The sequence below is a fragment of the Homo sapiens genome, chromosome 4 (genome assembly GCF_000001405.40).
Source record: "Homo sapiens chromosome 4, GRCh38.p14 Primary Assembly".
Classification (NCBI taxonomy): Eukaryota; Metazoa; Chordata; class Mammalia; order Primates; family Hominidae; genus Homo; species Homo sapiens.
In genome coordinates this window covers 181,574,083-181,600,840 of record NC_000004.12, presented here as the reverse complement: position 1 = coordinate 181,600,840, position 26,758 = coordinate 181,574,083, and the positions used below count along the sequence as shown (strand labels likewise).

The 26,758-nt window shown below is 40.0% G+C and overlaps 1 protein-coding gene across 6 annotated transcripts in view, besides 1 other annotated feature; it reads right to left on the bottom strand.

The window, feature by feature from the left end:
* Nucleotides 1-26,758, bottom strand: part of TENM3 (teneurin transmembrane protein 3) — a 1,355,412-nt gene that overhangs the window by 1,202,184 nt on the left and 126,470 nt on the right. The gene's annotated exons all lie outside the window — the stretch shown is intronic.
* Nucleotides 12,645-12,799: a silencer, noted in NCBI's record as "fragment chr4:182509195-182509349 (GRCh37/hg19 assembly coordinates)". NCBI's record gives its function as "represses an EF-1alpha promoter that drives an FKBP-Casp9 reporter gene in an ReSE screen in K562 erythroleukemia cells {active_cell/tissue: K562}" and the evidence as "EXISTENCE:reporter gene assay evidence [ECO:0000049][PMID:32094911]".

The following is a 26,758-nucleotide window of genomic DNA, read 5'->3' as shown; positions in this document are numbered from 1 at the left end:
TTTTGGTACTATAAGACATTTTCTTGAAAATTGGAAAATGGTGCTAATGAGAATGACAGGCAAGGAACTCACCAGGTACCATCACAAGTCGAAGGATGCCTGTCTGAATGTGAGAGAGTGGGTGTGTGTCTACGGCAGCAGGGAGCAGCCACGGCCCTGGGATATCAAAGAAAGAATGGCTCCCACCCAGAAGCCCCAGCATCAAGGGCCAGGCAATCAGAGTCCCCAGGAAATGCATACTGCCTCCCTTAGGCAGTTTTGAGAGGTACTTAGGACTATGTGAAAATTTCAAGTCAGAAATGCAAGGAGCTAGGGAAAGTGTTTGCCTGCCTTGGCTTCCGGGAAAACTTGACTTAGTCTGAACTTGGGTTCAGGAGGGTCCAGTCTTCTCTCAAAAGTGCCAGGGCCAGGAACAGGCTGTGGGTCTCTGGGTATAAGGAGGACTGGGGCAGTGGTTGCAGCAGGATTTACAACACTTAGTATGAGATAACCATGTGCGAGCCTCCATTTATCCTCTTGCTCTGGAGCCCTCAGATTTTAGAGGTAGGTCTGTGTCAATCAGAATGTTCAAAACAGCATTCTGTGCAATAGCAAAAACCTGGAAACAACCCAAGTGTCCCCAGAAGAATGGATGAATTCACACAATGGTATATTACACAGCAGTGAAAATGATTGAATCACAACAATAAGGAACAATGTAGCTTAATCTTAGCAATATAGTATTTGGTGACAAAAGAAAATCACAGGAGATTACATGCAGCATTAGCTGTATAAGTCTGAAAATAACCAAAACTAAAAATATCTGATTGTTAATCATACACACGGATGTGGGTTAGAAGAAAGAGGGCGATACAGTCACGATTCAGAGGAGGGGTTTCTCTGGTCTGGGATACAGGGAAGGAACTCACCGGTAAATGTAAGTTATTGCGAATTGTCTAGGTCTGGGGCTTGTAAGATATATTCACAAGTGTTAATAAATTTGTGTAATAAATAAGTAAAAAAGGAATAAATAATAAAAGAAGGTCATAGATGAGTAAAATATAGAGATGAAGCAAGTATTATTTAATTTTGTGCACAAATGGTCAAATAATTAAAATACAATAAAATTAGCAATTACCTTTTCCAATGCAGTGTTCTTCACTCCTAAATCTGATCTTATTTTTTAAGGTGCTATTACCACACCTTGCCCAGATAGAATAAGCACAGAGGTAAAAAAAATACTAGAGAGCTATATTAATTACTTAGTGCATCAAAATTCTTGCTTGTATATACAAATGCAGTTGTGTAGGTAACAGGAATATTTCAGTGGTAGGAGAATGTGTGCAAGTTACTTTACCACTGATAAGTTGTGTTCAGTGTCTCTCTTATTGTCCAATAATTTGCCTGTAACAAAGAACTGGATCATGTAATTTATTGTGGCCTTTGAGAATGTTTCTCTGTTTGCCCTCCTTAACCATCGACGTTACAGTGTCCTGCTGTTGCTTTTGTTCCGTTTTTTAATGTGGCATTTATAATTACAGTGTGATTCACTGAAATCGTCTCTCTTTGTGCTCTACGTCTGCTGTTTGCACAGAACGAAGGGAATAATGGTACACTTATTCAATTGGGGTGCCTTGAGATAATGAGGTCCTTGAATAAGGTAGCTCTGCTCAATGTGGTTCCTTTATTCTCTTTAACTTGGTAGAAATATTCTACCTATGTGCTTGTTAGTATTTGGGGATAACTCGATATTTTTGCCCCTGCCTGGATACTTACACAACCTTTCACCTAACTTGTCAGTTTCAACCATAGTTGCTGAGAAAATAAAGCTGAATGAAAAGCTTCAGGTAGTTAGACTGTCCATTGGTTAACATTAAGCACTATTTTTTGAAAAGGGCAAGGTAAGTAAAAGAAGACAGAAAATTTTGTTTTCATCAAAATTTTCACCAGAGCTATAATATTACTGTACATACATTTGAAAAACCTGCGTGTTTAAAAAGAGTCCAACAGTCTCTTATTTTCATAATACTTGAAAAATGGCAAATTGTTCCTTGAATTAATAAGCAAATGATTACTCTCTTCATACTCATATTTTCATTCTGGTCAGAATTTCATAGCTGTATTATTACAAGATGTAATCTATTTCACTTTTATGGTTTTCTTTTTTTTTTTTCTTATGCTTGTTTAATGATGAAATCAGGATATGTTAAACATTGGGCTTTTGATCATGGAATAATGGTTACACAGGCAACATCTAAAATTCTTTGCCTCAGTTTCAGATGTTTACCTTTGTCAAAATATCTTTTCATTGTGTCCCATTAAATCATAAAAAAATCCTTTAAAAATATTCTTAATTAAAAAAATCTAAAGAGGAGTAACATTAACATTTCTTCTATTTAGCTGGGGGTTAGGGGAAAAAATGAGCTTTGTTCAGAATGTTGTCATTATCACCCCAAATCCAATGTTGAGGAAGGTGGTCAACCACTGTTGTGGGAAGGATAGAGATTTTAACTGGGATCTGTAGTACACGTAGTTCAGGAATGAAAGCCCTAGAGCCTTAACTGAAACTGTGACTATGAAGCTGCTTAGAGAAATACTATGGGATATTAATAGCTAGAGTTAGCAGTTTGTTGAATTTTGTGTTGTAAACGGAGAAGAGAGGGAGTAAGAGAAATGTAGAAGAAAAAGTAGATCATGGAACTACAAATTCAGGGAAATTGCATTGCTTAGCACGTGAAATTAGCCTATTTTGATTAGTTTAATTTCCAAATGTCTGTCCGGTATTCAGTAGACCACGTCCTACTAATACCCTAGCAGACAAAGTTAGTGGTGCCCACTACATCATACATCTGCCAGAAGCCTGCAGAGATCTGGGGATGACCCACAGAATGGTATCAAATTTCCTCCTTGAGCCTGATTGCTGGAGATGAGTAATATTATTCTTAAGGCGAAATGCATTAGAAACAGGGTGGCAAAAATAAAACCTTCCAGAACATCTCTCTCTTTGATATTGGAAAAGCAGAAGGATTTTTTTCCCATAACCTTCTATGGCAACTCTGGAGCTGAATTACTGATTGATGGAAACATTTAAAACTGAGAAACATTTTGGACTTGTCTATGTTAATCAAAACTACAGCTTTAGCTCTTCCCAGTGTGTTTCAAAACAACGGGAACTCTGATTTATTGAGGGAACCTTTGGTAAGCTATTTTACAACACTCCTTCTCCAGGGAGACTCAGTGGTATATCAATTAGGCAATACGTGACATTCTGAAATATTTCATAGACAACTGTTAAGGAATATTTAAATGGGATTAAAATATAGCCTTAGATATGTTAATGCTTGAAAAAAAGGAAAAGAAATGTTTCCTCAACAGGCAGAAATTTAATAAAAGATAATATACAGATGTTGGCAGATAAAAGATAAAGAGGAACATAACGTAGAAAGAAGCGCTGGTGTTTTCCTAAAAGTAGACGTGCTGAGTTGTCAGGTGTTTTTGAGATTAAATCTAGCACCACGTTTATGCCCTGTTGCAAACACAGTTTAGGGAAGGCTTAAATAGAGTAAATTTGATTTAGAGTTAAGTGACTTACTTCAATCACTAAATAGTAAGACTGAATCTAATTTTTTCCTAAAGAAATAAATACTCATTGTTTAAGAACACACTATTCTTTAGCAGAAAGATCAAGGAGGATTTAATGTTAGGCATGGTAGCCATGTAATAACATTTAAACAAAAGTTTCATGAAACAATGGTTGAATACAACTGTACAAAAGGTTTTTTTTTAACTTTCATTTTAAGTTCAGGGATATATGTGTAGGTTTGTTACATAGATTAACTTGTATCATGGGGTTTGCTGTACAGATTAATATTAAGTACTACCAAATAGTTATTTTTCCTGATCCTCTCCCTCCTCCCACCCTCCACCCTCCCAAAAGGCCCCAGTGTATGTTGCTCCCCTCTAAGTGTCTGTGTGTTCTCATAATTTACCTCCCGCTTATAAGTGACAACATGTGGTATTTGGTTTTCTGTTCCTGGGTGAGTTTGCTAAGGATAATGGCTTCCAGCTCCATCCATGTTCCTGCAAAGGACATGATCTCATTCTTTTTTATGGCTGCATAGTATTCCATGGTGTTTATGTACCACATTTTCTTTATCCAGTCTATCATTGATGGGCATTTAGGTTGACTCTATGTCTTTGCTATTGTGTACACAAGTTTTATATATGAGGATCTTATTTTTTTTAAATAGTTCTTTTTTTTAGCTACAAATAAAGAGGTTACTTTAATTGGGATCAGGGTCAAAAACTTAATAGTTGGGTTTCATTAGTGAGCAAAAGTTAGCTTACATGTTGGCTGAATACATGGTGTGAATGGTAGAGACCTGGAGGCGGCTACTCAACTTCTCCTTGTTGTGGCTCTGAGGAAAGGCAGACCTAGTGTTGCCAGATGTTCAGGATTTTTAAAGACACCCAAAACTGGGATCTGTAAGTAAAATCTTCCTGTATTTGGAATCAGTTTACAAACAAACCGTGCAAGCTTGTGAAAACACATCTAGAGACAAAATATCAGCTACTTCTAGATCAGATTTGGAGAATAATTTTGCCATGTTAGGAGTTTAGGAATAAATAGATATTATTCACATTGTTTCCTTTAACTAGAGCAATACATGTATGCATTTTTCATAGTCTACAAAAACAAGACTTCAGTTACTTATAATTTGGTTTTATTAAGCATCTGCTTTGTGTCAGGAACTGTTCTGCGTGTTGTGGATCTATGAATGATTGAGATAAACAAAGCCCCTATCTTCAAGGTGCTTATGACCTTGTGAGGAGTGATAATAAAAGTCGTAAAGACAAACAAATGAGAAATGCCCAAATACTTTTTAAGAGCAAGGAAAAGAGAAGTAATGTGATCCAGTGACTTGGGTGGGAGCACTCTCGCATGAGTGGCCTGGAATAGCTCTCTGTGAAGTGTTATCTGAACCGAGACCTGAATGACACGTGGATTCAGTCATGCTAAGATTTGAGAGAATGGAGTTCCAAGTAGAAGGATGAGCAAGGAAAAATCCTCTAAGATAGAATGCACCTACTGTGTGGGACAAAAAGATAGGAGGTCATTGTGGCTGATTTTGGTGAGAGAAGAGAAAAGAGCAGAGAACAAGTCTGAAGAGGAAGTCAGGACCCAGATCTTGTAGGGCGTTTTAAACCAGCGTTTTTTAGACTATAATGCACATATGAGTCACTTGGGGGACCTTCTTAAAACACCATTTTTGGTTCATTATGCCTGAGATTGTATATCACTAACAAGCTTCCAGATGAAATCCACGTTGCTGGTCCTCCTACCACACTTCCAATAACAAAGCTTTGAATAACGGTGAAGAGTTGAATTAAATTCTACTCTTGCTTGTTTTTTTTTTTTTTTTTTTTTTTTGGGATGGAGTCTCGCTCTGTCACCCAGGCTGGAGTGCAGTGGCGCGACCTCAGCTCACTGCAGCCTCCGCCTCCTGGGTTTAAGCGATTCTCATGCCTCAGCCTCCCAAGTATCTGAGATTACAGGTGGACATCACCATGCCTGGCTAATTTTGGTATTTTTAGTACAGATGGGGTTTCACCATGTTGGCCAGGCTGATCTCGAACTCCTGACCTCAAGCAATCTGTCCGCCTCAGCCTCTCAAAGTGCTGGGATTACAGGCGTGAGCCACCACACCCAGCCTAGTTCTACTTTTAGTAGAAAATCATGCAGGGTGAAGTGGTAGATGGAATGAGCCTGCAGGTGGGCAGAGGAAGCCAGGGAGACAGGGACTGTTTCAGTAGTTCAGAAAAGAGAATATAATGGCTTGGGCTTCCATGGGAGATGCACTATATATATATTTTGAACACAGAGGTATGGGCCTTTCTGTGAAATTCTACCATAAACAAAGAGAGGAATCAAATTTTGCCATGTACATTTTTTGGTCCAAGCAACTTGGAGGGTGTTAGGACAAGTTTCTGTGATAAATAAAACTTTGGAAGAAGTATATTTTTTGTGAGATGTGTGTGGGTGTTGGGGAAGAAAGCAAGAATTCTATTTGGCCATGTTAAATTTTGGATGCCTCATGGTTATCTAAATGAAAATATCTAAAAGGCAGTTGTACAGTGAACCTGGGTTAGGAGATAGATTGGCACTGAAGAAAAGGATTTGGGAATCTTCAGCATACTGAGGGCATTAAGAACCATGGAACCCGTTGAGGCTGCTTAAATAGAGCATAGATGGGAAAGGACAATGACCCAGCAGACAGTTTGGAGTTCTTGATATTGAGAGATCTTGGAGACAGAGACAACCCAGAAATGGAGTCTTGGAATGGGTGACCAATGGATAGTAGTAAGGAGGCTGTTTTGTTTGGAACACCTAGAAAATAAAATATTTCATGAAGAAAGGGGTGGACCAATGCTGATGAAGGTCAAGTAATATAAAGCTTGAGAGTGGACCATTGATTTGATGACATCAGCTTATTTGTAAACAAATCAAGTATAACTTTTAAAAAGTGTTAGCTATTTAACTCTTAAATAAAAATTGCTATGGTTTTTTTGAAAAATAAAAAGCTAATTAGCAAATTTCAGCTGAGTTACTATGAAACACATTATTGGGTCATGTAGATAATTCACACTTCACCTTATTCATCATGCTTATTCATCATTTGTAAAAAGCATAATAAGTTTTCTAGTTTTAAATCGTTACATGTTTTCTCAGTCTAGAAGCAATTAATCAAATGGTTCTTCTTACACCTGGAAACAGCTACCTTATTAGGTTGATTATCACTTCTGTATTCACTGATCTATGGAGGCATTGAAGCAGCCACCACCAATTTCATTATAAAAAAAAAAAAACTCCTGCAGAGTTTATCTATAACCCTTCTATTTATCTTAATGACCGTTGTGTCAGGATTGCTAGAACATGCCTAGATCATAATTAACGCTTATTCAGCATTTAAAGATTTAATCTAACACCAATAAGAAAACTGAAAAAAAATTAGTTACTGTTAATCATATTTTCCATACCTCCAACTGTCACATCAATATATACCACCTGAATCTTAATCTGTCTCCCAGCTTTCACATGATCTGATGGCCTGCTGGCAAGGCTGGACTAAGAAAAGCTTATGGTCTCCTTCCCATCTATGTAATTCAAAATGAAACAAAATTAAAATATACAGTAGCAGCAAAGTACTGTTTCTTCTGATTTTCAATAGTTTAAAAATATGTATACTAACAAAAAATTTTTGTGATGTTAATGCTTAAATTTCTTTTATCCAGTGCCATGTACTACTGGTTTCCATTGCAAGATCTGGCCATCATTTCAGGAGTACCATATGTACAACTGTACTTATCAACTTTTCCTAACAAAGCAGCGTTGCCTTAGACCGGCAGCTCTTAAACTATTTTGGACCAAGTGTCTCTAGAAAGCTGATGGAGGCTAGAGACCTCTAAAAAATACACAAAAGTGTATATGCAAATATTTCCCACAGCTTAATTTCCTTTCACTCCACGTTCATTTCCAGCACATGGCCAGTTTATAAAAACCTAGGAAGCGTCCAGGCACGTTCATTCTTGATTTTCATAATGATCACTTCCTAATCGTAAAATAGAAATGCCTCCAAACTCTGCAACTAAAACAAAATAAGCTTTAATTCTGCTCAAAGCAACTTTTAATGAAGAGGATTATGGTTTGGTTTGTATAAGAAGTGATTGTGGCATAACTGGAAATGTGTAAACAATCTTTGAAAGCCAACTGATGGAAGATTTGGGCTTCAAGAAGTGAAGAAAACCTGTACCTACAAAGGAAGGCAGAAGCAAACCGAAATCAAACTCCCATGGCTTGCTTTGTCATATGAGGAGGAGGTTTGTCAAGGAGCACCAGAATCCTATCCCATAATTTCTTTTGTGTTCAACTCAAAGAAGACATTGTGGTAAGGCTTGAATCATTGAGACCATCTGTGTTAACAGCAAAAGGATTACAATTCTGCTTTTCAATTTTAAAGCCTTCTGAGCAGAAGTAACCTTCAGAAAAGTTCTGCAGATTTCTGCCTGCTGAGAAATTGAAAGGCTGAGTTACTCTTGACACCAGCCTCCAGAAATGTTTCCTCCACATTGAAAAGTTTGCTTCTCCACTTCCAATCTTTCCTTCCAGAGAGGCAACCGAGACCAAAAAAAAAAAAAAAAGAGAGATTTTCAGCAGTCTCCAAAATAGTAACTTCAGAGACTTGACTCAAAAGTTTTACTTCGTTCTTTTAGCTGAAAATACCAGCCAAACCCCAAGTCAGGAACAAACTCCTTCCTGTCACATGGTTCTGAGAATGGGCTTGTTTCTTTCTGAAAACAAACAGGACTCCTTCCTGTTGTTCAGTCATGGGCTTCGCGACCGGTCCTCTGTCAAGCATCCTTGCACAGCTTCTCAAGTCTAGGCTTTTGTGACCAGGCAAAGTAAATTGTGGGTACATTCCAGCCTCTTTAAACTTAGTCATCTTGATTTAAAAAAAAAAAAAAAAAAGAGCCATATGGTCTGTTGTATTTGAGGAGGAGCAGATAGAAGGGGCCTTCTCAGCTCTGTGTGTGTGTGTGTGTGTGTTTGTGTTTAAACAGCTTTATTGAGGTATAATGGACACATAAGAAATGGCACATTTTAAAAGCATATAATCGGCAAATTGACATTATGTATGCACCCACGCAACCATGACCACAGTCAAGATAGTGAACATATCCACCACCTGCAAAAGTTTCCTGGGCGCTTTGTAATTCCTCCTCTTATCCTTTGCAGTCGCTCTTCCTAGGCAACCGCTAATCTGCTTCCTGTCACTGAAGATTAGTTTTCATTTCCCAGATCTTAATACAAATGAAATCATAGAGTATGGACTCTTTTTTTTTTTCTGGCTTTTTTCACTCAGCATAGCTATTTTGAGATTCATCCACGTTGTTGTGGGTTTCAATAAGTCATTTCTGTGTATTGCTGTGTAGCATTCTACACTGCAGCAGTCTCCAACCTTTTTGGCACCAAGGACTGGTTTCGTGGCAGACAATTTTTCCACAGACAGGAGTAGGGGGTGGTGGTGGCAGTGGTGGTTTCATCAGGCCTTAGATTATCATATTGAGTGTGCAACCTGGATCCCTTGCATGTGCAGTCTGCAATAGGGCTCGTGCTCCTATGAGAATGTAATGCCCCGGCTGAAATGATGGGAGGCGGAGCTCAGGCAGTGATGTGCGCTCAACTGCTGTTCACCTCCTGTTGTGTGGCCCAATTCCTGACTTGGGTATTTGCTGTGTGGTACCAGTCCATAGCTTGGGTGTTGGAGACCCCTGCTATAGTATGCTTGAACAACACAATTTGTTTATCCATTCATTTACTGATGGACATTTGGGTTGTTTCCAGTTTTGGGCTATTATAAAAAACTGCTATGAACATTCACGTACAAGTCTTTGCATGGACACTGGCTTTCATTTTTTTGAAGTAAATTCCTAAGAGTTGAATGGATGGGTCATAGACTTGGTATATTTTCAATTTTTAATAAACTTCCAAACTATCTTCCAAAGTGCACATACTATTTTTACATTCCCATCAGTCATGTGTGTGAGTTTCAGTTATTCCACATTCTTGCCAACACTTGGTATGGTGAGTCTTTAAATTTTAGACATTCTGATATGTGAATAGAGGAAGCATTGTAGTATTGGTTTTAGTTTCATGTTTTGATTTGCAAGAATCTTGGTCAACAGGCCATATTGAACCTTTGGTGTTCCAACATGTTTGTCAATGCAGATTAACCAAAGGTTGCATAAGACTCATTGTATTTGTTTTTCCTTGACATTGCCCTGTGTAATCAGGCTTGATGTAAACAAAGAATAATATCAATATAAGTAAGGAGATTATTTATATCAAAAAATGTTTTAGACATCATAGCATGGTAACAATAGTGTATTCCTATCATATCCATCTCTATCCATGTTAGGTGTAAAACTATTTCTTCATAATAAAATTGAACCTGGTTAATTTTTATTATTGATGCTGTTTTGTTGTTTTCACCCCACATAAATAATCTTTAACATATAAGAAAGAAATCAAAGAAATGCTTCCTTGGAAATCCAGTTCAAATATCTGAAATTTCTCTGTGAACTCCTTGCTTAAGTATCTGTGCTGTAGACTTTTATGTTCTCATCTGTTGGGAAGGCAATTCCTCTATTGTTTTCTGTGTCTTCTTCACTGGCTCCTCCTAAAGGATAAGGAGCTGTTAATCTCATTGGTCAGAGACCAAAACATTTATTAAATTGCATTTTACTAGTGGGAAGGCTCCCAGTATGCTAAAGGATGGTGCCCCTAGCTGTCCTTTCTTGACCCTTCCTCGGTAAGGAGCTCCCCAAGACAGGGTAGGCCTGGCTCTTGGCACAGACCTGCTATTCACTTTCTGTTCCAAGATGACCATCTGTGACTGGGTAGGTAAATCGGACAGGAGTTTGTTTTCTCCATCTGGAATAGCCGAGAGCCTTAGAGTATGGGGAGAAAAAAGAAAGTAGAAATTTCCTTCGAGCTTCTTGGCTGCAGCTGAATTTTCCACTGATGCTTTTTCCCAGGAGCCTGTGTTGGGGGATATAAGGCCCTTGATGAGGTCATGGAGTGGTACAACCTTCTCCATTCTACTTGGCATTGTTTCTTATGTACATGGTTTCTTGGTCAACAATTGTGAAAGAAAGAAGGGTTGAATAAAAGGACTTGTGGGTACGAATAAAAATGATCTCTTTATACTTCAAAGTTAGTTTTATACTTGCTCACTACCTCTTTCTTATTTATAACATTTGCAGGATTTGAGAAGAGGCACCCTCAAATATGTGACTCTTGCAAACTGACTATTTTGAGTCAAAAGCAGTTGAGAAGTGGGAGGGGCAAGTAGATCAGGCTGACCTCCCTTCTGTTTCGTAAAAGCAGGAGATAACATTTCCATGTGAGAGATGTCCTCTCGATACTAGAAGGAAAGTAACCCTTCTGTCATCAGAAACAGGAAGTTGAGGCTGAGAGAATCACGTACGGTCTTTATTAAAATCACCCATCATCTAGTCTCCCACATAATTTGGTTGCTTTTTTCACAACTTACTTTTGTTGGATTCAGTACATAAGTGATCAGCTCTAACTGCATCTGTGGGTCTTCATTTCCTTATGAAGGCTCCTGTGTGAAACCTGCATTACATACATTTGTATGCTTTTCTTCTGTTGATCTGTCTTGTGTCAGTTTAATTCTCAGGTCCAGCCAAAAATTCCTAAAAGTGTAGAGGTAAAATTTTGCCCCCCCTAAACATTATAGTCTTTCCTTCCTTTTTACATTTTTAGTTTAATCTCTCCAATCTAAGTGTTTACCTTACCATGTTTTGAACCACAATTGTTTTAAATCTTCCTTAAAGTGTGTATATTGTACATAGCATTCAATGTTCTCCCTAAAGAAACCAAATATTGAGCAATAATATTAAACATAGCATAAGGGATATAACAATTTCTGCAAGGACTAGCCCTTCAGTAATTTATAAACCAAAGTCACAAAAACGACATAGAGTCAGAACAGTTCATGATAAAAATAAAAACGTATGTGTTTACATGAGGCCACCAGATTAGAAAAATGTTCAGAAAATTATTTACCTAAAATTCCCTGATCAAATTTATTTTGTCCAGTCTCCTTTTCCAAGACAAATTACCACCAAAATCATTTAAGACAGATGGTTGCCTCTATTTTTAAAATGTTCTAGAGTCGGTAATTTCACAAGCTCCTTTGGTAGAGTCTGTTTCAGTGTTTAATCACTCTTACACTCAAGGCGCTCTTCCTTATGTCTAATATATGATGTCTAAATAATGAAATACACTGAGTGGAATAAGGAGGATAATTTTAACTCTCATAGCCGCTAGAACTGGAGACCTAAACAATTTTTCAATGAGACACATGATTCAATTATCCTCTCTATGGGGTTGACATCTCCATCCCTGACCTCTCACCCTCTTTATAAGTCTATAATTCTTTCCACAGGATATGGTCTACTGAATAATACCCTACAGACATTTGGAAATTAAACTAATCAAAATAGGCTAATTTTGCTTCTGAAGGAATGCAGTTTCCTTGTATTTGTAGTTCCATGATCTACTTTTTCTTCTACGTTTCTTTTACTCCCTCTCTTCTCTATTTACAACACAAAATTCAACAAACTGTTAAATCTAGCTATTAATATCCCATAGTTATTTCTCAAAGCAGCTTCATAGTCACAGTTTTGGTTAAGGCTCTAGGGCTTTCATTCCTGAACTACGTGTACTACAGATCCCAATTGGAATCTCTATCCTTCCCTATGACAGTGGTTGACCACCTTCCTCGACATTAGATTCGGGGTGATAATGACAATATTCTGAACAAAGCTCACTTTTTTCCCCTGCTCTCTGGTGTCATCTTTTCTCCAGCCAGAGATGTCTCCTGAGTAGCCAAGACTAGTGTAAGTTTTTATTCTCAAGGTTCTTTTAGGTGTCAACGAATCCTTTCAAAAGGATTCAGAGATAATTAAATGTTAGGAAATACAGCTTAAAGAGTATCCCTTCCTAGGGAATGTGAACTTCAGATGTTTGATGTGCGGAGAAGGATTGCCTTCCTGGTGTGTTCTGTTCACAGTACACCGCAGGGCATTCTTGCGGGACTGCGAGCAGAGGCCGCTCCCCTGTTCCTGCTGGCTTCAAAAGAGTGGGCCACTGGGCAACTTGGCATGTCTGGCATGCTCCTCTAAAAAGCGCATGCCCCTGCCTGAGTGGATGCTCCCTGCTTTCCCGTGACCAGGTGCAGATGGCGGCTCACTTCCACCCTGCAGTTTGCTTTCCTGCCCCCCACAATCAACGTCCCCACCCCTTCTTTCCATCTCAGGACGGCTAAGAACTGCTCCTTACCCCTGTCACTGAAAGTCATGGCTGCAGGTCCCAGAGTGAGTCCTTCCAACTTCCCCAGAATGCAAGGGTTCAAATAGTACTCATAATATAACAAAGATGAAGGTAGGTGTTAGAAGAATGAATGCTATTTAGGATCACTCTCTCCTCACTCTCAGATTAGGAAGCTATGTTGAAGTTACTGATGTAATTGAAACAAGGTGGAAACAAAGCGAGGTGCCCAGATTGAAGAAATCCTCAACATTCAACTTAGTATTTGAGGGCAGTAGAGCTTCTGGTTAACAGTGGGGTCCCAAATGGCCCACTGAATCCTTATTTCTTCCGTTACTGGTGGTCATGCTTGGCCACATCACTCAACTTCTTTGCCCTGGTTTCTTCATCTGTAAAACGGGGATTGTACCAACATCATACGTGGGTTTTAGGCTGAAATATCAGGCGCTAAGGTAGTGCTATGAAGTATTAGTTGTACTCACTGATGAAAGATAAGAGACGGCAAATGGAGGCTTCATTTTCTGGACTTGGCACCAAAGAGAAAGAGAGGATAGTGCGGGTCTTCTTCCAGGATAGGAGTGGCTTCAGCAGGTACAGAGCCCATGAAGACAGAGGCCTTGGCAAGGTGAATGGGAGATGATTGATTCAATGGCTAAAAGGTGCCCAGCCCTGAGCATCATGCCTGGCACTGAATGAATGATGGCTGAATTTGTTAAATTGGGAAGGGTCTGTTTTTCCTCAGCTCTAGGAATAAGGAGAGAGTGCGGGAGTATAGAAAGACTTCAGAAATAAAAAGAGAATTTAATGTTAAATACATTGGCCTAGACATATTTTATTAGGTAAAAAAGTATGGTTTGTTGGTTAAACAGGAGGAAGACTGACCAAATACAGTAGAAATGGTGGAGAAGGTAGTTTTCACTTATTTTAGTGAGTGCAGATAAGAAGAATAAAGAAAAGTGTACTTGGGTTGAGCTGATTAACGTGTTATTGACCAATAACAGCCTAACATAATATTCTTTGTTAAGAAATTTCTTTTAAGAAAAAAATAATGATCTGCTTCTTTTGTTTTTGTTTGTTTGTTTGTTTGTTTGTTTTGTTTTGTTTTTGAGACAGAGTCTCAATCTGTTGCCCAGGCTGGAGTGCAGTGGTGCGATCTCAGCTCACCGCAACCTCTGCCTCCCAGGTTCAGGAGATTCTCCTGCCTTGGCCTCCCGAGTAGCTAGGACCACAAGAGTGTGCCACCACGCCTGGCTAATTTCTGTGTTTTTGCTAGAGACAGGGTTTCATCGTGTTGGCCAGGCTGGTCTTGAACTCCCGACCTCGTGATCCACCCGCCTCAGCCTCCCAAAGTGCTGGGATTACAGGTGTGAGCCACCGCACCTGGCCCTTTGGTTTTGTTTTTAAGGGAACTCCACCACTTGAACTGGGATTTGAATGGAGACAGTTTTAGAGAGACCCCCATTTTCGCAGATTGCCTGGTCGTCGTCTCTTCCCATAGCTCCTCTGCTTTCCTTGGACTCATTGTCTAGTTGAGTCCTCATAACAGTTATGTGAAGTACGTGTTCTTATTATTCCTATTTTACAGAGAAGGAAGCTACCAGGATCAGAACCTGTGGAATTCAGGTCTGGGGATTTCCTCAGGTCTCTGAAGACGTTCCTTCAAATGCTAAGGATGTTCCACTATATTTCGTGATCATTAGCTGCGTGAGAACCGACACATACCATAGACATCTGCCTGTCAGGGAAATCTTTCAAACATCCATTCATCTTCAAGGCTGAGATATCAGATGGAAACTTTGGCCAGAGTGGGGTAGGAAGTGAGTTCAAGTCTTCCCCTTCCCTCCATCCCACCTAGTTAAATGCAAAGAAATAATTACTTTAAAGTTTTTTTGGTAAGTTCTACCTCTGAACCCTACATTCTAATGATTAAAGCAAAAGCTGGAAGCCACGGTTTTCTTGAATTAGAATTATTACTGAGCCTCCAACGCTCTAGGCTACCTGATGCAGGTCCCCTAGCCTCTGTGGATTTCAGCCAAAGCAGTGACAAAACTGGACATAGAAAACCTCACTGAAAGAAATCCAAGCTATGGGACCCTCCTGTTTAAATTAATAGGAAGAAAAGTATATGGAGGAAGCAGAATATATAAAGAAGTGAAATAAAGGTTTCTTTCACTTTTTGGTTGAGAGTCGATTATAGAGGCCAAATATATGGTCCTGCTGACAACAAATGCTTGATTAAAAGAATCTTAGGCATGTGATTGAAATGGCCTCATTTGCTATTTAGTTTTCTAGAGTTAATGACATTTTTTCTGCATTACATTATTTTTGTCCTGCTTAAATAATAATTTTAAAAAGAAAAGAAATGAAAACACGAGACCAAGTGCCCTTTTGCCTTGCCGGAGGGAAAGTACAATGCTAAATAGTCTCATTTTTTAGTATATCATCACATTTAAAATACAGTTTTCTCACTACTTAAATCAACCTACAAGTCTCAGTAGTTCAGTGAATTTTCTTGTTGGTCTTTCTGATCCCTTTCCTCCAAACATTTTTCCTGACCGATGAATGTACAATGTCAAAAGCTTCAGGCTGCGATATACAAATAAGAACAACACGTAAGAGATAACGCAGACTAGGATTAAATTCAGAGGCTGCATTTGTTTTCTCTGCATACTTAATGTGGTCTCATATTGTTGAGAACTGTAAATTATAATGATTTTTAAAAAATCGGTCCATCTGTGAATCAAGTACAAGGTGCTCCATGGCTCCTAAAGTAATTTTTTTTTTAGTTGAAATATGCATGTTTAGTTGCCAAGTTCTGCACTTTTCTTACCTACAAGGAAAAGTCACAAAGGCAGTTAGTGATCGCATCATATGTACAGGAAATCTTTGTTTGGGTAAGTAATTGGATGATTGAAAAAAGGAGGATTTTTTTTTTTTTTTTTGCCACTGGATACGTTTATGTTGCATCGCTTCCTCAATTCAACTATATGGACATTCATCCTCCTTAGCTTTACCGCATCCCGACAGATTAATCAAATCTAATAACAGTGCCAAAAGCGACCTATTATTTATGCCTTTGCTTTCTGCTGCTAAATATATAGCTAGCTGTGTCCAAAGGAAAAATGTTCATTAGGCACCCATGTTCGTGCATGTTGCTATTGTTACTAATGAAACAATGAGGTGCAATTGTAATTTTAAAAAGAACTTCGGCAAACTTTTATTTCAAAACCTATAGGATGAAAATTGTTAGAGGAACAGAAATTTGGATGAAAGTTTGAGTCCTGGGGTAGCCTAGCACCTATTGAGAGTTCTTTAACTTAGGGGTAGGACCGTAGAAGAAATGTCAAGTTTTCTGCATTAACTTAAAACATTTTAGTTGGATATTTTAAAGGAGAAGAAAATTCTAACCAATGAAGGTGTTTAGTTTATGTCATTCCTAAACCACACACTTAGGAAAATATTAAAAAGTTATGATATAGCTGAAGCATTACCATCAAGGTGGAATGTTGGTAGTAGGATTAAGGAATACAGAAGAAGCTTGGTGGAGGCCACTCTGGACAGTTAGGTAAGAGGACTAAATGAAATTAGGTCACTGAGACTTCCTCAGAAGTTAGATCTCAATACACAGCAGTTTATACCCGTTTCCGAAAACCTGAGGTATTCTGTTTGTTAGCATAGAATTTGAGCCTCTGAGGGAAAGAAGGGCCACTCTCTTCTTTCCCCACCTCTTTTATAGCTGGATCCTTTGGTTTACATGTGAGATACTAGAACCCCTCTTCTGGCTTTCAGGCAAGATATTGCTTTTAATTCTTCCAACAAATACTCATTGAGTGACTATGAATATGTCAGTGCTACTCATGTAATATGCTTGGTGCTGGAGAAATATTGAAAGGCAAACAGGAGTGCTCACTGCCTGCAAGAAGCTTAGAAGATTGGGAATACAGATCTTAATCAACTAAATCTTTATACATGGATAACTGCTTTGAAAGGGGCTATGAGAGTATGTAACAAGAGAAATTGATCTAGCTAAGAAGACAAGGAAGGTGTCCTGGAGGAAATGGATTTTGAGTTGAAAACAAGAACAAAATTTGATTCTAAAATCTGTATTAAGTCTATCTTAGAGGTAGGAGGATATTATTAGAATTACATAGACATTAGGAGTTTGTGTGTGTCTGAACGTTTCGAAAGGACAGACACAGTTAATAACATAGTATGACCAAACTTCTGAAATCAGCAGGTAACACAGTCAAAATCATGGGCAAGTTATCAAATCTCAATTTATTTGTTATTAGTATAATTTCACCAACCTCAAAAAGCCATTATGAGATTAAGTTAAATAATCTATATGAAGTACTTATCACAGTGACTAGGAGGTGGCACGCCCCCACGTTTTTTAACCTAAAGTGTTATTTTCAAGGGCGGTTTAAATGAACAATCCATATAGCTGCCTATAATTAGGGTGGATATACAATTTATTGTCCAGGACATTTTTGAGCATGAAAAGTATCCGGATGAGAGGTATAAAATGGAAAGTTGGTCACCCTATCTATATTTTACTGCCTAGCAGAGATGATGTGGAAAAGCAATTAGCAAAACATCCATGTTGCCCACACAAATCATAGCCAGCTCCCTCAAAAACATGGTTTGTAATATGGCCTGGTGGAACTTTGCCTAGAATATTCTGATATTATACCACTCTGATCACACAGATCGTTTTAAAGTATATGGATATTAGAAGGGAAATCTCGTGGCTATTACTGCTTTCCTTTTATTAATTACAAAGTTGATACCTGCCCAAAGTAAAAAAAAAAAAAAATACTACAGAAGGGTATAAAACAAAAAATAAATATTTTCTACCTCTTCCCCTAGTCCCACTGCCCAGGGACTATTTCTTGAATATCTGCCCAAAGATGTGTGTGTGTGCATGCACATGTGTGTGGGTAGGTCCATTTATATATATGCAGTAATGCTACATGCATAATAATGTAGTTCATATCTCTTGAGAAATAAGCATGTCTAGAATAAGTAGTTTTTGCTCAGACCACATAAATTTCTTCAAAGGTGACTGAACAACATCCTTCCTACCTTACATCCAATGACCTCACTAACAAGATGGCCGCTTTCCTTTTCAGATGGAGCACCTTGGCTACCAGTAGGGGGCAGTCCTTGTGCAGCCTGGCGGCTCCATGACCCTGGGCTGCTATTCTCAGTTTCTTTCTCACTAACCGCAAAGGAGTTTTCTTTTCTTTTCTTTCTTTCTTTTTTTTTTTTTTTTTGATTTGTTTTGCTTTGTTTTTTGAGATGGGAGTCTCACTCTGTTGCCCAGGCTGGAGTGCAGTGGCACTATCTCGGCTCCCTGCAACCTCCGCCTCCCAGCTTCAAGCGATTCTCCTGCCCCAGCCTCCCGAGTAGCTGGGATTACAGGCGCCCGCCACCACTACTTCCCAGACCGTGGGAGACTGTTTGTTTGGTTTAAAGTCATAGCAAATTCGTCTTGATTAACTCAGCCCAACTGCACCTGCCTGGGCCTCTGGTTCATTTTAGGAAGGTACATCAGTATCAGGCAATTCAGATTCATTCCAGAGACAGAGTGGGAGAGGATGAGCTAGCACTTGTTCACACACCCATCACAAATGATTTTTTTTTTCTCTCCCTGCTCCTTTTTCTTTTTCTCAATGCAAAGCATGCACAACAGCTGTGAATGTGAGAGACAGGCCCGTGCCCTATGCAAAGCAAAACAGTCACCAGGACTTGGAAAACATTATAGTACCTGCCATCATGAGCTGGTGAAACCAGGAACAATGAATACATTTAGGCATTAACAACTTTATCCCGAAAGCAAACATATGTGCTTACAATATGAGCTTGTGCTCATTGAGAATTAACTGCTTGACAGAAGTAAATGTAAGGCGGGGCCAGGCACAGTGTCTCATGCCTGTAATCCCAGCACTTTGGGAGGCCGAGGCAGGCAGATCGCCTGAGGTTGGGAATTCAAGACCAGCCTGGGTAACATGGCGAAACTCAATCTCTACTAAAAATACAAAAATTAGCTGGGCATGGCGGTGGGCGCCTGTAATCCCAGCTACTCAGGAGGCTGAGGCAGGAGAATCTCTTGACTCCAGGAGGCGGAGGTTGCAGTGAGCCGAGATGGCACCACTGCACTCCAGCCTGGGCAATAGAGGGAGACTCCGTCGCAAATTAAAAAAAAAAAAAAAAAGTAAAGCGGAACTTTGAAAGAGGGAAACCTGGAGGAAGAAGTTCACCGCACAGAATAACAGGTATAGTATTTTTCCACAGGTTCTACTGAGGAGCCAATGAATTGTTTTGTTAAATTTTTAATAAATGCAATGGTATTTTGAGAGTTTGAAAGGGGGAAAAGTTTGGTCTTCTTTGGTCTTCTATGGTATGTCTTACAAAAGACTGCTAAATGCAAGATAGTAGGAAAACCGGGATATTTGAAGAACAAACTGTGGGTGTTTGTTTTGTTTTGTTTTGTTTTGTTTTTGAGATGGAGTCTCTCTCTGTCGCCCAGGCTGGAGGGCAGTGGCACTATCTCGGCTCACTGCAAGCTCCGCCTCCCAGGTTCAAGTGATTCTTCTGCCTCAGCCTCCCGAGTAGCTGGGATTACAGGCGTGCACCACCACACCAGAGTAATTTCTGTATTTTTCACAGAGATGGGGCTTCACCATGTTGGCCGGGCTGGTCTCAAACTCCTGAGCTCAAGCGATCCACCAGCCTCGGCCTCCCAAAGTGCTGGGATTACAGGCGTGACTCACTGCACCCATTCGAACTGTTTTTTTTCCCCTCACTGATAGCTCCTTGTTTTTCCAGTTATTTTCCTGGGGCTGCACTTGCCTTTCTTTGCTATGTATGCCATTTTTGCTGTTTGCCTTGAGCTGAGAAGCATGGGGAAAAATGATCTGTCCCTGGTTGTATGCCCTGGGCTTTCAAGGAAAACAGAAAAAATACAAGGCAACTTGGCTCCTTGGATAGTTTTCTGTGTTGTGTGCAACCAAACCACACATACATTTTCTGTCCCCTGATGTCCTACTTGGCAAAACCTCCTCTCCTCATTTCTTGACTGAGCAATTCTGAACCTACAGGCACCACCAACTTCAGTAGGAATCTAGAGTTTATGAAGACAGGCCACCAAGTCTGGGTCATTTCCTGCCTGGATGAATTCTGAGCCAGATTTATGCTGATACTCCATGGGGCTAACCCTAGGCAAAGTGATGAACATGAAGCATCTCTCTCCTCTCTCTCTCTTTCTCTGTCTCTCATTACTGTACGATCTCTCCTCTCAGGGGGGTCTGGGACTCCCTCGTTTCTCCTTCGTCCTAGAAAAAAAGCAGTGTGATCTTCTTAAGCATAGTCAGGTGCTGGGGGCCCCACTTCTGCTATCTGAGCTGTTGATGGGGGTTATCTTATTTTCAAAACATCACTTATTATTTACAGCCATCATCTGCGAGACAGTAATACTTTGCACAGAGACTCCCCACTCTCTCCCTGCAGTTTCATGTGGAGAGGAGCTGCTGGGCTCCACAAATGGGTTGGGGTGGCAGATGGAGAAGATCTGCATATGCCCAGGAGCCTCTCAGTCGGGGGAAGCCACCACCGTGTGCTCCCTTTAATTTTGTAGGTACTTCTTGGCTGTGCACGGTGGCTCACGTTTGTAATCCCAGAATGTTGGGAGGCCGAGGCTGGTGGGTCACCTGAGGTTGGGAGTTCAAGCCCAGCCTGAGCAACATGGAGAAACCCTGTCTCTACTAAAAATACAAAAATTAGCCAGGCATGGTGGCACATGCCTGTAATCCCAGTTACTCAGGAGGCTGAGGCAGGAGAATTGCTTGAACCCAGGAAGGGGAGGTTGCGGTGAGTTGAGATCGCGCCACTGCACTCCAGCCTGGGCAAGAAGAGCGAAGCTCCATCTCAAAAAATAAATAAAATAAAATAAAATAAAATAAAATAAAATAAAATAAAATAAAATAAAATAAAATAAAATAAAATAAAATTGTAGGTACTTCTCCTAGAGAACCATAGTGGCAGTCTCCCAAACATGGGGATGGTCCTGGGCACCTTGAACTTAGCCCAGGTGGGTAGGTTTACTATGAAGGAAGAAAACTTTTCTACTCTTGATGAACCTAGTCTCTTCTTCCTGGAGGTGGTCTATAGGAAAAAGCTACTCAGAAATTCTGGCTTAGGAATTCCCCTCAGCCTCAAACACTTCTTAAATCTGAAGGCTACCATTATTCTGGCCATCTGTGCATTTCTGAAAAAAGATGCCGAGTTGAAAGTTACTGTGACGATTTGGAGATAATTTACATTTCAAAATTCAAAGTGACCAATTTGGTATAGTTATAAAAGATTCACTAAGAAACCCATAACTCATCATAGTTTCTTTAGAACTTAAGATGGAATCCAATCAACCTTCCCATCCTATTGCCTGCCTGCTTAAATCCATAAAGAATACACTTTCCAGAATTTTCTCAGAAGAGATAGTGTATCAAGGAATATTATGGGAAAAAGTAGAATGTTTTTCCTAGGATTTCTTAAATTACAAAATTCGAGCTAGGTATTTTTAAAAGATCGCTCTGGTGGCAATGGACAGAACAGTTTGCAAACGAGTCAGAGTAGATGTGGGGGGAGTGGTTAGGAGGTGTCTCTCATGTGAGTCTGTTTCCATGTGAGGGGTGAGGGCACCCTGATGTGGGCGGTCACAGTGGGGTGGGCTCAGTTTCTCACAACTGATGCTTATTTTCCTCTCCTGCAGCCTCTGGTGAGCAGGAGCCTGACCTGGACTTGGCCAGAGTCCGCTTCTTCCTGAGACTTCCATGTGGAGCAAATGACTGCAGGGAGCCAAGGACAGAGAAATCCTGTGATCAGGAAGCCCAGGCAGGGATGGGAGAGGGGAGCCTGCTTTTCTCATGAGCGCTGTCTCACACTGACAGGAAGCTGGCTATGTGCAGAGGCTTTTCCAGCGGTTTGCATGTGTGAGGGGCTGAATCGTGCCCCCTTCCCCACCTACCAAAAATGTTTGTATTGAAATTCTAGCCCCTAGTACCTCGGAATGTGACTGTATTTGGAGATAGGGCCCTTGAAGAGGTGAATACGGTAAAATGAGGCATAATGAGTTAATCCAACATAACTGGTGTCCTTATAAGAAGAAGAGATTAGGACACAGACATTCACAGGCAGAGATGACCACAGGAGGATGCAGAGGGGAGGTGGCCATCTGCAGCCAAGGGAAGAGGCCTGAGAAGAAACTTCTCCTCACTGCAGTCCTTTGATGGAGATGCTGAGATTATGCACTATAGAGTGGCAAAGTCTGAAGTACAGAGAGATGAGGACCTTGCAGGAGGTGACATCCCTGGTCAGTGGCAGAGTCCGATCTCAGCACTGGCAGCCTCTGGCCCTTCCCTGCTGCTGAGCAGTGCCTCTCCGCAGCGGGCAGTGGACAGAAGCTTTCGGGATAACCATGGGCTCACGTCAGAGAAGCCAGACCCTGGCCGCTATTCCTCCGTCTCTTGCCAGGGCTGAAAGCTGCCTCTTTTGCTGTCAGTTAAGCCTAGAGACTCTTCTCTCAGGGAGCAGGGAGAAAGGGCTGCTTGGCGAGGAGGCCTAATCAGAGGGCTTGGGAGTCCAGGGAGAAGCAGTGCAGACCTCCAGACAAAGCTGGACTTCCACACTGGGCCAAGAGGGAAAACAAACAAAGAAAAGGAAAGACATCTTCCCCACAGAGCTCAATCCCCAGAGAAAGGCTTTCTTTAACTATTGACGGAGTCCTTGACCCTTCCACTTGTTCCCTGCTCACCTTCCCAGCACAGAAACCTCTGGTTCATGGGCCTGATCCAGCCACTTCCAGGGAGCTGGAGGGTCCCTGGCCACAGTTTAGTGCACTGGCCTGTGGGGTAAGTAGACGTGGGGGCTGTGAAGAACTCCAAAGGACTTGCTCATCAACATGAAAGAGCAATGGAGGATGGACGGACTGAAGGATTGACAGACTGGAGGAAAACTGAAAGGGTGGAGGGTAGAAAAAGAGAAAAACAAATTTCTGGGGACAAAAGAGACAATTTTAAAAAGTTAGAATTCTTAAACAGTTTCCAGAGGAGACTACATATATCAAAAATTAGATCACATTGGTATTAAAAAAAAGAGCAGAGTAGAAAGAAAGAACTCTCATGTATTAAAAATATGGTCACAATCCTTCACCCCCACCAAAATGGATAGAGCATGTAATAAAATGTAAACAGTCTTGGGCATCTTGAAGAAAAAGTTGAGGCAGTCAGTGTATCATCAATACAGCAAAAAACCCAGAGTGGCATAGGATATTAGAGCAAAGTGTATAGGGATGGAGACAAGTTTCAAGAAGTTCAACGTCTATCTCATAGGAGTTCTAGGAGGAGTGAGCAGAGATAATGTTGGGAAAGAGTATGTAGAGAAGGAATAGCAGAAATGCCCCCTTTGAGTATTTACAGTGAGAGAACTGATCAGAATCCATGAAAGGTTCTGATCAGAATGCATGAAAAATTCTCAAACCTAGACTTCTTAGTGGAATTTCAGAACTCCAAGGACAAAGAGAAAATCCTTAAGAAAAATCCAGAGAGGGGCCGGGTGCGGTGGCTCACGCCTGTAATCCCGGCACTTTGGGAGGCCGAGAAGGGTGGATCACCTGAGGTCAGGAGTTTGAGACCAGCCTGACCAACATGGAGAAACCCCATCTCTACTTAAAAAAAAAATATATATATATAATATATATAATATATAATATAATATAATATATATTATTTATATATATATTAATTATATATTATATTATTACACATAATTTATTATTATATAATAATAAAATATATATTATATATTATATATTATTTATATATAATATATAATTTATTATTATATAATAAAATATATATTGCATATTACATATATTATATATATATTATATATATAATATATATAATATTAGCCGGGTGTGGTGGCACATGCCTGTAATCCCAGCTACTTGGGAGGCTGAGGCAGGAGAATCGCTTGAACCCGGGAGGCAGAGGTTGCGGTGAGCCGAGGTCGTGCCATTGCACTCCAGCCTGGGCAATAAGAGTGGAACTCCGTCTCAAAAAAAAAAAAAAAAAAAGAAAAGAAAGAAAAGAAAAAGAAAAATCCGGAAAGGAAAAGAGTGGTAGCTGCTATAAGAGATATAGGTAAGACTTATAATTAGATGTTTCTTCCTCAGGCGCTTAATAGTTTAAAACAGTTTTCTGTGGGTGACTTTCCCTTACATACGCATTCAACACCCAGGTCCTTCCTTCCTGTGGTTCTGCTGTCTGTGGAAAGAATGTGTGGGGGGACCATAGTTGCCTCATAGAAGCCTTAGCCCTTTTCTCTGCGTCCTTCCTTCCACACTGCTGGTGGAATGTAAATTAGTACAGCCTCTATGGAGCACAGCGTGGAGGTTTCCCAAGGGACTAGAAATAGAACCACATGATCCAGCAATCCCACTACTGGGTATCTACTCAAACGTAAAGAAATCATTAGAGCAAAAAGACATCTGCACAGTTCAGGACAGCAAAGAAATGGAATCAACCTAAGTGCTCATCAGTGGATGACTGGATGAAGAGAATGTGTATATATACACAATGGAATACTATTCAGCTATAAAAAAGAATGAAATCATATCTTTTGCAGCAACATGGACGGAACTGGAGGCCATTATTTTAAGTGGAACAACTCAGAAATAGACAGACTGCATATTCTCACTTCTAAGTGGGAGCTCATTAATGTGTACATATGGCCGTAGCATGTGGAATGATGGACAGTGGAGACTAGGAAGGGTAGGGGTAGGAGGGGCGGATGATCAGAAATTACATAGTGGAGACAATGTCCATTATTCAGATGATGAATACACTGAAAGCTCTGGCTTCACCACTGTGCAATATATCCATGCAACAAAGTTACACTTGTACCCTCTTGAATTTATACAAAAAACCTAACAAAGCAAAACAAAATGTGTCCCCTAAATGGAAGCTATCACTCTTGCTATTGATTCCTGGCCATGTCTAACTGCAAGGAAGGCTGGGAAATGCAGTCTATCTGTGTCCATGGAGAAGATAAGCAGATCATCAGTCTCTCTGCAGTCTGACAGCAGGCTGCTGAAATGGAGCAGCGGAAGTCAGGAAACAAAGCCATACTTTGAAATTCTAAAGAAAAAGGAGTTGAACCCCAAATGTCGTATATAGCTCAGCCATCAAATTAAGTGTAAGAGCACTGATTCAGAAAGCTTCCATACCACTCAACCTATATGAAAAAAATTTGCTCTTCAAATTCACCAATTAAAATAATACATAATTCCAAGAAAAGAGGCAATATGGTTTGCAAGAAAAAGCATAGTTGAGAAGGATCCAGAAGATGCTAGAAAGAAAATAATAGAAGAGATAGTTTACTGGGTTGCTTGCTAATGTCTTTTTTTCAGTGGTACCATTTGAAAGACTTGGGATTACACTTTATTTTTTGATGGGTCCAATTCTATTTAGTTTTAGAACCCAAAAAATGACATTACCATCGAATTGTAAAATCTGTTTATTGCATTTTAGATCAACCTATTGGTATACCATGGAATAATTAACTACAATATAAATAGAAAAAACAAGAAAATAATTGATACATCAGAAAGTGTAATTAATAAACTAAATTCTTGAAAGTTTTTAGTGGAGATGTAGAGCTTCTAAATTTCCTAAATTAAGAAGAAAAACAAATATATAATGAAATATTATATCAATAGCTACAAGGATAACAAAAAACTTAAACTCCTGATGGACTGTGGAGAGTGGAATTAGGGGAATGAATGGGGGACTGGTAGCGGTCAAGAATTTTACTTTATGTTTTATATGTTCTTACATTATAACACTAAAAAAATTACTTGCATGAATTACTTTTATAATAAAAAGTGCCAACAAAATTCCATTCGATGCAAAAATAATAGCATTTTAAATGACTGAAAAACAGAACTTGATGTAGACTTCTTTAGAAACCCTAACAATAATATATTGGCATCTCCATAATTATTGACCTAATCTCTCAATTCTGTTGCAACTAGATCTTTAGTCCCATGATGTACCTTCTTTAGTACATTTTCACTTTTGTAAAATGAAGATCTCAACCTAAATCATTCCTAAGTTAGCCCTCTCCAGTTCTAAGTTCCTACGGCTTCTATATAATGATCTATATTTAAAAACATATAATTCTACCTTTAACAAAAGGAAGTAATTAATTTTATTTCCATGGTGGTCTAATAACTTGTTCTCTCATCTTTTCATGGGAAGTTTGTCTCCTATGACCTTTGTTGAACTCACTTACTTCTGAATCAATGATCATATCCTGATAAACTGGAAGACATTTTTTTTTTTTTTTTGAGACGGAGTCTCGCTCTGTCGCCCAGGCCGGACTGCGGACTGCAGTGGCACGATCTCGGCTCACTGCAAGCTCCGCCTCCCGGGTTCACGCCATTCTCCTGCCTCAGCCTCCCGAGTAGCTGGGACTACAGGCGCCCGCCACCGCGCCCGGCTAATTTTTTGTATTTTTAGTAGAGACGGGGTTTCACCTTGTTAGCCAGGATGGTCTCGATCTCCTGACCTCATGATCCACCCGCCTCGGCCTCCCAAAGTGCTGGGATTACAGGCGTGAGCCACCGCGCCCGGCCGGAAGACATTTATATGAAGGTGAAGAGATTGTTTTTCTTCCTTGATAGCCAAGACCTCAAGTGAAGTGACTAGGTAGGAACTCCTGAAAGGATTTTTCCTCAACTGAACAGAAACATAAAAGCAGTTATCAGAGTTAGCTGTGGAACTGCTCACTGTGTATTTCACA